This window comes from Homo sapiens, chromosome 22 (assembly GCF_000001405.40).
Source record: "Homo sapiens chromosome 22, GRCh38.p14 Primary Assembly".
In the NCBI taxonomy this organism is placed as follows: domain Eukaryota; kingdom Metazoa; phylum Chordata; class Mammalia; order Primates; family Hominidae; genus Homo; species Homo sapiens.
In genome coordinates, this window is record NC_000022.11 from 48,050,438 (window position 1) to 48,061,893 (window position 11,456).

Below are 11,456 nucleotides of genomic sequence, written 5' to 3' on the forward strand. Positions count from 1 at the left end.
AGATGCTGGTCGAAGGAATCAGCCCGATGAAAGGAATAGGTTCTGGAGATCCATCGCCCAGAATTGTGATTACACTTCATCATTACGTATTGTATGTTCCAAAATTGCTAAAAGAGTGGATTTAAATGTTCTCACCACAAAGAAATAAAAGGTATGTGAGGTGGTGGATATATGAATCTAGCCTGACTCGACCATTCCACAATGTATACATATATAGAAACATTACATTGTACCTCATGCATATATACAATTGTTTGTCAAATTTAAAATAAGACATTAAAAAAAAAGGCTGCACAGGCCATATCAGAAGCTGCATGGCTGGACCTGGGTTACCAATGCTCTAGCCCAACACTGGACAAGGGCGTGCTCTGGAAGGATGTTTGGTGCAGCAGTGGACAGTGTGGCTAAGTGGTCAAAGCACCGACCCAGGCAGCCTGGGCCCTTTCCTTACTCTCCTGGCCCCGTGATGGGTGCTCTCATCTGGGAATGGGATGCTGTTTGCACCTCCCTCCCAGGGAGGTGCAGAGGAAGAAGCCAGGGGGCCCATGTAACATCCTTAGAATGGGGCCTGTTCCACGGCAGGGGCTCAACAGCATCGACGTTGAAAGCAAATCTCTGCACTTGGACCCCAAATTGGCCTCAGCATGACTGGAGAGAAATGGGAAGGAAGCCTGCATGGAGGGAAGCCTGCTGTGTTAAGCTGGTTTTTGTGTTGCTATAAAGGAATACCTGGCCGGGTGGGTGGCTCATGCCTGTAATCCCAGCACTTTAGGAGGCCGAGGCAGGTGGATCATCTGATGTCAGGAGTTCAAGACCAACCTGGCTAACATGGTGAAACTCCGTCTCTACTAAAAATACAAAAAAAAAAAAAAAATTTGCTGGGTGTGGTGACATGCACTTGTAATTCCAGCTACTCAGGAGGCTGAGGCAGGAGAATCACTTGAACCTGGGAGGCAGAAGTTGCAGGGAGCTGAGACTGCGCCGCTGCACTCCAGCATGTGCAACAGAGTGAGACTACCTCTCAAAAGAAAAAAAGGAATACCAGAGGCTGAGTAATCTGTAAAAAAAAAAAAAAGAGAGATTTATTTGTCTCACGATTCTGCAGATTGTACAGGAAACATGGCGCCCGCACCTGTTCCTGGTGAGGCCTCAGGAAGCTTCCAATCATGATGGGAGAGGACAGAGAGCAGGTGTCTCACATGGGGACAGAGGAAGCAAGACAGTGGCCGGGGGAGATGCCACACCCTTTTAAACAACCAGATCTCACAGGACCTCAGAGCACAAACTCACTCAGTACCTCAAGGATGGCACCAAGCCATTCATGAGGGATCCCCCTATGACCCAAATAGTTCCCAAAAGGCCCCACCTCCAACATTGGAGGTCACATTTCAACATGAGATTTGGAGGGGACAAACATCCAAGCCTTATCACCTGCCGTGTTTCCAGGCTGGGGAGAGATGTGGCTGTCTGTGGGGTTCAGTAGACCCTGGGGTTGTTGGGGTGAAGGGACGTCCCCTGGGAGGAGGGGTCATTGGCTGCGCCCCGGCCAGGCCAGCCCAGGTTAAGTGACAGACACTATCTGACTCAGCATTTAGAGGGGAGCCAGTAGGCTAGTGAGAGGTGAGGAAACCAAGTCAGGCCTGTGAGTGTTGGCGGAGCTGGGGAGAAAAGTCTGGGGACAGAACCACTGGGTTCAAAGAACAAGGATGCTCTGGTCCAAAGTCAGGGCCTCAGATCACACACTGGGGGCAGCCGTTCAAACTAGAGAAGAGCTTGGGTCCACACTGCCCTGCCATGGAGAGAGTTGCCCCAAAGCTTCATGTTCATGCTGTTGGGCCTGGTGCAGTGGTCAAGAGTGTGGCGTCTGGAACCAGACCCCCGAGATGTAATCCCACTCCACCATACAGCACCAATTAGACCTTGGGTAGTTTAGCCAAAGCCTGTGAGCCTCCGTTTCTCGTCTCAAAATAAGGTTGTTGTGAAGATTTCATGAGGTAATCCATGCAAGGCTGTTGTCATAGTGCCCAGTCCATTTTAAGCCCAAGTCGGCAATTTTGCATTCAGGTGGAGACTGCCAGTCACCTGCCAGGAAACCTTGGCAGGTGGTTCCTGTAACAGTGTGGGAGAGTCAGGCTCCAAGCCCTTCCAGCTCTGATGTTACAAGAAGCTACAGGCCCCAATGGCAGCTTCAAAGCATGTTCTCACATTTCCTCTCCTAAAAATGTCAAAAAAGAGTCAGTCTGCAGGGTTTTCAGGGGAAATGGACGTGGACCGTGCGGTCTTACCTGGTGATAACACATTGTAGATTTGGCCCAAATGGTCCTGTGCCTTGCACCCTCTGGACGCACGGTGGTTTCTGGAAGGACTCCCCATCTTGCTTTCCCTCCGCTGCATCTGAGTCAGGTGGGACTGTTGCCTGCTGCCCGCTTACATGATGGCACCTGGCTCCTACCTGGGCTCTCGTCGTTTGTTTCTTCAAAGGCTTCCAGAAAGATCTTTCCACATCTCAACTCTGATCAAGTCACTCCCTGCTCAGCAGCCCTTGCTGGGCCTCTCCCATCTGGGAGTCAAGGCCCATGCGTCTGCTCCCGCCTTTTCAGCTTAGCCTGGGAGTGCCTTCCTCGTGCTCCAGACAACACGCTCACTCTCTCCCAATTCCAAAAGTCCAGACACACCCAGAGCTTTCCGGACCCCTGGCTTCTACTTACAGAGTTGTCTCCACTCTTGAAGGCCCAACATAAGCATCAACTCCCTCACAAACATTTTGGAATCTAAACCTCCCTCCCACAATTTACCTCTGAACCTCACTGATCCATACTTTGTTATTATTGTTATTATTATTATTATTATTATTATTGAGATGTAGTTTTGCACTTGTTGCCCAGGCTGGAGTGCAATGGCGCGATCTTGGCTCACTGAAACCTCCGCCTTCTGGGATCAAGCGATTCTCCTGCCTCAGCCTCCAGAGTAGCTGGGATTACAGGCATCTGCAACCATGCCTGGCTAATTTTTTGTAATTCTTTTTTTTTTTTTGTATTTTTAGTAGAGGTGGGGTTTCTCCATGTTGGCCAGGCTGGTGTCAAACTCCTGACCTCAGGTGATCCACCTGCCTCACCCTCCCGAAGTGCTGGGATTACAGGCGTGAACCATCGCGCCCAGCCCTCATTGATCTGTATTTGCAAACCTCAGAGCATTTGTTTCACTTGCCTGGCGTCAGCCTGCGTGTGCAAAGCGGTCCCCTGGGATACCCATCTGTCTTCTCTGCATCTCTTCTTGAGCCTGAAATATGCCTCTTGCCTGCAAAGATTCAGTACACATTTGCTGGATAGAATCAGGTCATTTCCTTTCCCTCTTGTTAGATGATGAGGGCCCTGACTGCAAGAAGTGTGTCTGCTGCTTCTCCTACTTCCCCCAATGTGTTTCTGGGATGAAGACAAGTGACAAATCAAAACTAATAACACATAGTTACCATTATCAGGCACCCAAAGGCTTCACATATGCTAGCCCCGGCTATTCAGCCAGCCAGTGGGTAGGTACTGTGGTTCCCATTTTATGGCTGTGGAGGGTGAGTGGCCACCCATTTCTGCTGCTTTCCCCTGATCAAAGAGCCCATGAATGTGGGTTGATTCACTGAGGCAAATCCAGATATGCTTGGCCTCATGTCCTGTGTTCTTTCCACGACTCGTCATTGGCACTCGCAAGGAAACCAGGCCCCAGCCACTGCCCAGGAGCTCTGCTGGGTGCCGAGTGGGGCTTTGCCAGCGAGATACACAAGACTTGTGTCTACTTGGTTCATAGCTGTGTCCCCATGGTCTGGTCCAGGCTTGGCACCGAGTAGGTCGTTAATAAATATTTTAAAATGAATAAATAGGCAGCAGAGAGCTCAAGCAGGGATGAGCAAGAATAGCGAGTTAGCATGAAGAATGAAATGAAAACCCCATGAGTCTGAAGTGCAGAGGTTTTAAAATGCACAGCCCTCAATGGGAAGCACTGACTCGTCACAGAAGTACAAAAAAAAAAAAAAATCTGGGCAATGCCGAGGCAGGAAAAACCATTTAGCATGAAATAGGAAGGGAGGAGGAACTAGCAGCAGGCATTGCACAGAAAGGAAGGAAGGGGTGAATTTATAGGAAACCCAACTGCATTATCCTGAAAGAAAGCATGGACAATTTCAGAAACGCCCAAGGCACTTCCACTCTGGATATTTACGGAGGAGGCAGGGACGTCCCTCCCAGGCAGAGCATCGGGAACAAGCCTGGGGGACTGTGCGGAGAGAGAAGATACCTGGCTCCAGCCTTTGGCCTCTGTGAACCTTGATTTCATGAGGGCGCCCAGAGCCAGCAACTGCTGTAGCCACAAACCCTTACACTAATTCCACAATAAGACAGAGATAATTGCCACAAACACACCTGTATCTGTCATTCTCCGCCGTGCTCAGGGGTTCCTGAAGCTCTCTGTTGTCATTAAAGACAGCTCAGCGTCCAGTTGCTCAGAAATATACACGGGCCCTTCTGAGCGGAGCAGAGTGGAGCTGCCGGGCTCCCGGTCCCTGGCCGGCTGGAGACAGCACATCCAGTCTCACTCCATATTTCTGCTTATTTTCTCTCTCTTCCTGTACTCCCTTTCCCAGGACAAGCTCCGCGGCCAGGAGTCTGTCTTGATTGATGGCATTTTACCTGGACCTCTCTTCTGCGGTTTTCTCCCTGATACTAGAAATGTGTGTGTGAGATTGTGTATACCTGTGTGGTTGTGTTATGTGGGTGTGTGCAAGTGTGGGTGTGTGCATGTGTGTGTGTCTGTGAGTGTATGTGTGAGAATGGGTGTGCGTGTGTGTGCATGTGAGAGTATGTAAATGTGAGTGTGAATGTATGTGTGAGTGTATGTGAATGTGAGTGAAAATGTGTGATTATGTGTGTGTATGTGTGTGGGGTGTCTATGAGTGTGAGTGTGTGTGAATGTGAATGCATGCAAGTGTGGGTGTGTGTGTGTATGTGTGAGAGAGTGGGTGTGCATATGAGAGTATGTAAATGTGTGTGTGAGAATGTGTGAGTGTATGTGTATGTGAATGTGAGTGAAAATGTGATTGTGTGTATATGTGTGTGGAGGGGTGTCTGTGTGAGAGTGAGTGTGGATGTGTGTGAATGTGTGTGAATGTGAGAGTATGTGAGTGTATATGTGTGTGTATGTGTGAATGTGAGTGAAAAGGTGTGAGTGTATGTGTGTGAGTGTGTGAGAGTATATGAGTGTATGTGTGAATGTGTGTGACTGTCAGAGTATGTAGGGGTGTGTGTGTGAATGTGAAAGTATGTATTTGTGTGAATGTGAGAGTATGTGAGTGTGTGTGTGTGTGAACGTGAGTGTGTGTGCATACATGCGCATGTGAACAGTCCATGGAGCTTAATCCCCTGGAGGAGGGATTCTACAGCATCACATGTAGAAGGCATTCTGCTCAGAGAATGGCCTCCATTTTTCCGGGAACGCACCTGTTCGTTCCTCTATCAGAGGCACCAGCTACGGCTGCGGCTGCCCCGTCCTTGGTGAATGTACAACGACGCTTCTTGGCATGAGATGCAGACAGGCCCACACTTTGGGAAAGGGGCCAGAACCCGAGATGTATGTATGTATTTCCTCGCTAAGAAGAAACCGCAGGTCTAACCATGATGTCATTAGAATGATTGTTTAGAGGCCTGGAATGAGACCATCTAATTACCAGTCCAACCTGACTCACTGGTCCTTTCAAATCCAATAGTGTTTCTTAAAATAAATGCTGAAAATGACTTCATTCAGGGAAAGGCAGGTTGTGGCCATTTAATTATGGCTACAGATTAATGAATGAATAAAATATACTCTGGCTAAATTGTGGGAATATTTTCCAATTTTTCCCTAGAAAGTAGTATTCCACTGATCTAACCTGGGACGTGGGATTTTGTCCTAAACACGGCTTTGTGAGTGCAGAAGACAAAAGGAAACCAAAGATCTCTCTCATTGACACCAGGCCAGGGAAGGGCAGGCACCCACCCTCACCTGTAAATTCAGGTCTGGGGGTCCGGGTGCCTGCTCCGATGCCATGGAGAGGCGTTCTGTAAACTACAGCTGTGCTGAGAGCCTCATCTACACCAAGCCTTGGATCAGATGCCTCCATATTCCATTTCATTCATTTCTCGTGGCATATTTGGAATGGATAGTAATGTCCTAGCTTTACTGCTAAAGAAATTGAAGTGCAGAAGGACTCACCTAAGCTCACGTAGTTTGTGTCAGAGCCCAAATCTGAACTCAAGTCATCAGACTCCAAAAGATTCTTCCTAAAATAATGCAGCTCCTTCTCACAGATGCAAAACCTTTGCTAGAAAAAAAAAAAGGAGAGAAGGTGATGATGTTAAATCATTCATCAGACAAAGACACTCGTGAAGGCCCACTTTATGAGAATATCTGAATGGTGCAGGGAACACACAGATGAATAAGACTCAGCTCTGCCCTCACGTAAGCAGCGTCTAATGGTGAACTCAGATGGACACCAATGCATCCCCACGACATTAAAGGGATCATAAAAAATTAATAGAATTATGTGTCCTGCAAACAGCAAGGACAGGGACATTCATATCTAACAGTTGCAGGGAAGTTTTTCCAAAGGATAAGCTGCTCTTGCTGGCTGGGTTATGAAGGAGAATTGAAATTTGACAGATGGAGGTTTGGAAAGCCCTGAAGAGAGAGAGAGAGAAGGAGGTGGCGTGAGCAGTGTGGGCGGGCGGTGAGAGAGGAGGGCAGATTTGGGCCTGTGTAAGAGCCACACTCAGGCTCAAGCCCACCCCATCCCATGTGACCTCCAGGGAGTAAAAGTGGGATGCAGGTCACGTGTGCCAGGATGCTCAGTGACAGATCGAGAGATCTGCAAGCGGGCCGCTCCTTCCCCCGACAGGAGTTCCTGAGCACCTGCAGGGAACCAGCGCTGGGCCTGACGCGAGGCTCCTTTTCTAGTGAGTCACCTCAAGTGAGGACAGCACAGGCAACGCTGGACACAGGAGGACACCCAGAGCGTCTGGGAAGGCACCTGAGCTGGGAGCTCAAGGCAGGAGAGGAAATAGGCAGCAAGGGAGAAGGGTGTCTTTCTGGGACAAAAGAGTCGCACCTGCAGAGGCACAGAGGTGTGAGAGAGAAAGGACCACGAGCGGCCAAGGGCAGGCGGTACACAGAGCTCCGGCAGGAGATGGAGGAGAGGGTGGCAAAGCCACAGTTCCTGCAGTGTGGCCCGGGCTGTGCAGTGGCAGGTGCCCCTGACACCACGGGAGCTGCTGAGAGGGCAGCTGCGTGGGCAGATGTTTATCCCAGAGAGGGCAGCAATACAAGGGTTGGAGGGAGGTGGGGAGATCCGCTTCAGGCTGTGATGTTGGCTTAGGCTGGAGGGGAAAGAGCCCGGAGCTGGGGCAGAACTCGGGTTGTCCAGGAGGCGACACTGAATTAGTGTCTGGGGTCAGATCCATAGAGGGCAGGAGTCAGTGCCTGCGTGGCTGGCTCGGTGAGGAAGAGAGGGGTGGGAGTGATGCATGAACTCTCTGAGGCTCCCACCGCAGCAGCTCCACTCCCAAGTATGGGGCTGGCAGGAGTCTCAGGACCAAGGGAGGATGGTGAGTTGGTTAGTTAAGTTTGAGCCGGTTGAGTTGAGATGTCTGCGTAGAGTCAGGTTCCACCATCACGAGGCATTTGGCAGATGGGCTGTGAGGTGAGGGGATCCAAGGCTTGGAAACAAAGTTTTGGGAGCAGTCACTGCCTGGCTGAGAAACTCACCCCAAAACAGCATGTCCCATCCACCCCAGTCCACCCAAAACAAGAAGGAAGATGTAGTTAAAGAGATAGAAAAGATCCATGTCATTATCAGATAAGCATCAAATGAAAATTGCATGAGCAGACATATGCTTAAGGATTTCTTGGAAAAATACAGCTGATGGGGTAGGATTCCCAGAGAAACTTAATCAGAGAAAAGCAGAGTCCCCAAAACATGTAAACAAAACAAAACAAAAAAAGGCTGTTTTATTTCCCCTAAAGAAAGTTACAGAGAAACTACAAGGGGAGAGACAGCCAAGAAAGGATCAAGGGGGAAGGAGTGGGAAAGGGTTTGGTGGAGGGGGAGAGCACTGTGCAAATGTCAAGGTATAAAAGAACATGTGGACCTAGGGCTCCCTCCTCCCAGCCTGGTCCCATTGCTTCTGCAAAGCTGCAGAGATAGTTGCACCCAGGTAGAAGCCCCAGGAAGTTCTTTCCAAACAAAGTAAACTTCCCACCTGGAGAGAAACTCCAGGGTAAAGATAAGGTTGCGGGGGAGGGCGGGAAGAAGGCCAAGTCCAGGCCAGCTTCTGCCCAGCAAAAGCACCAGCAGGGAGCACTCCCAAAAGACAGGCAGCAGCTGACTTGGATGAGGCACAGGCTAAATCCACCAGGATGGATGCTTCTCTGAGTCTCAGGTACAGGAAGGTCTTAAGGTGGGCTCTGTGGCCAGAGGAGCAGGGTAGGGTCCTCATGAACAAGAACCCCCACCCTGGGAGGACTCACATCTTCTACACCTGGCTACTCAGAGTGTGGGCTGTGGACCAGCAGCCTGACCTCCCCCAGGAGTGTGTTAGACCTGCATGACCTAAGCCCAGCACCCACGTTTCAACAATATCTCCTATCCTCTCCAAGCCCTGTGCACAGTGAGGATTGGGAAGCACAGCTGATGCAGAGAAGGACCATGGCCCCGGGCGGAGTCAGCTGGAGCAGCTCACACTCCCTTAGGGGAAGCAGCTTTGTAGGTCTGGGGGCAAAGGATATGAACAAACATTTCCCAAAAGAAGACATTTATGCGGCCAATAAACATATGAAAAAAAGCTCATCATCACAGGTCATTAGAGAAATGCAAATCAAAACCACAATGAGATACCATCTCATGCCAGTTTTAATGGCAATAATTAAAAAATCAGGAAACAACAGATGCTGGAGAAGATGTGAAGAAATAGGAACGCTTTTACACACTGTTGGTGGGAGTGTAAATTAGTTCAACCATTGTGGAAGACAGTGTGGCGATTCCTCAAGGATCTAGAACTAGAAATACCATTTGACTCAGAAATTCCATTACTCGGTATATGCCCAAAGGATTATAAATCATTCTATTATAAAGGCACATGCACATGTATGTTTATTGCAGCACTATTCACAATAGCAAAGACTTGGGAACCAACCCAAATGCCCATCAATGATAGACTGGATAAAGAAAATGTGGCATATATATACCATGGAATACTATGCAGCCATGAAAAAGGATTTCATTTGCTTTGCAGGGACATGGATGAAGCTGGAAACCATCATTCTCAGCAAACTAACACAGGAACAGAAAACCAAACACCGCGTGTTCTCACTCATAAGTGGGAGTTGAACAATGAGAATGCATGGACACAGGGAGGGGAACATCACACACCGGGGCCTGTTGGGGAGTTGGGGGCTAGGGGAGGGATAGCATTAGGAAAAATACCTAATGTAGATGACAGGTTGGTGGGTGCAGCAAACCACCATGGCGCGTATATACCTATGTAACAAACCTGCATGTTCTGCACATGTACCCCAGAACTTAAAGTATAATAATAATAAAACAATAATTTTTATTATTTGCTTAAATGGTATGTAATTTTATATTGAGATACACAAAAAGACATAAATACAAAATATGGAATATTTAAGTCACACAATAAATTTGACATTATTAAAAAAAAAAGGAGAAGAAGGTCTGGGGGTCATGTGGCCAGAGCTAAAACCCCAATTCTCCTCTCTCAGGTCATGTGAATTCAGGAAAGCCTCATGACCCTTCAAAAGGCTGGAGAAGTTGAGGTGGTGAAGCTGCTTTCCTCAGGGGTTGACTGGAGAATTGAGTGAGGCAGCCCCTGCAAAGGCAGCATCCTGGTGGCCAGGGCAGCTATGGCCACATGTGCCTTATCAATGGTCACCAGCTATAGACAGCACCCACCTGCCCCCTCACTGCACACCCATGCCTTCCTGGAAACACAAATCCACTGGCTCCAGGCACCGCCTTTGGAATAATCCCTCACACGTGAACGGCACTGCCAGATCTCTCTGTGTTCATTCTCACACTCCCTGCAGACCCCCTCGACACCCCCATGGTTTCTCAGGAAGGAGATGAGATTGTTTGTAAGAATATGCACGCACACATTTTCAATCAGCCGGGATTCTTAGCACGTGGGTTTGCATGCCTTTTCCAAAACTCTGCCTCTGAACTTGGAGGAGAACCTGCTCAGTTCACAATGGCCTGTGCAGGGGCTGGGGTGACCCTGTGTTTAGCTAGAACATCAAGACGTGAGAGTCTTTTGAAGTAGCCACCCCTGGGGGTCAATCACACCGACTGCAACACTAGGCAGACTCCTTAGAAATAGGAAAACGGGGAAAGCTCCAGTATCATGACAGGAGGCTCACCTAAGCTTGATACCCAAACTGGTTTCTCGGGAGCATCTTGAAAGCAGTGGCTTAGTCTGGATCCTCATAGTGTTCTGATGCCTAAGGAATAGTTTATATGTGGAAAATGCTCAGTATATGCTTGCTAAATGAAATTATGAAAGAGAAGAGAAAGCTACCTAGTATTTATAAAGCCATGTACATGCATATACAGCTATTTCCTGGGTGGAGGAGCCTCTTCCCCTGGCTCTATAGGAGTTATTAGTTCAGATTCTTGGAATGTGGAATTTTCATCCTTTGCCTGAAAGCATAGATATATTTCTCCCAACAACAGCCCCAGTCACGATCCAGTGGACCAACCTGAAGTGACCCACCCAGCCCACATTGGCAAGTCTGTGAGGGCTGTGGACAAGGAGACACGTTGTCTTCCTACATTCTGTAGACAAAGGCAGTATTAGGCAAGATTGCCTGGCACTTCTGCTTCAGTAATTGTCATCGTTCAGATTTTCCCCACTGTTTAACACACACGTGAAGATACAGTGAGAAGAAACCCTTTCATTTAAAAATGATATAGCATGTACACACACCGTATTACTGTATTCTGTGTGTTGAAATACAGCAAATCTTTGTTGGGAACTTTCTATTTTTCCAAAACAATGGAATAGCCAGTTTACACTCATTCTGCATGAAGTTTTATCAACTACAAAGGAGGAAAGAATAAAACATCTATGTGTCTCTAACATCCCAGAAAGCCAGAGCTGGGAGGGACATTAATGATTATAGAGTCCAAAAAATGTTTAATGTGCTCAGGAGACTGCTATAAAACGGTGATAAATTAAGCTTGAGACAATGAAAATTATTAGCTTGTAAGAAAGCAGACACTTTGTCATCCTACATTCTGTAGACAGAGGCAGCATTAGGCACCGGTGTGTCCGGGCAAGTGTGGGAGGAAGCGAGTGGATGGTGAGAATTCTTTTTCTCCCATTGGAAGGAAATGTCATTGCCAGGTTGTGAAAGGCAGAAGC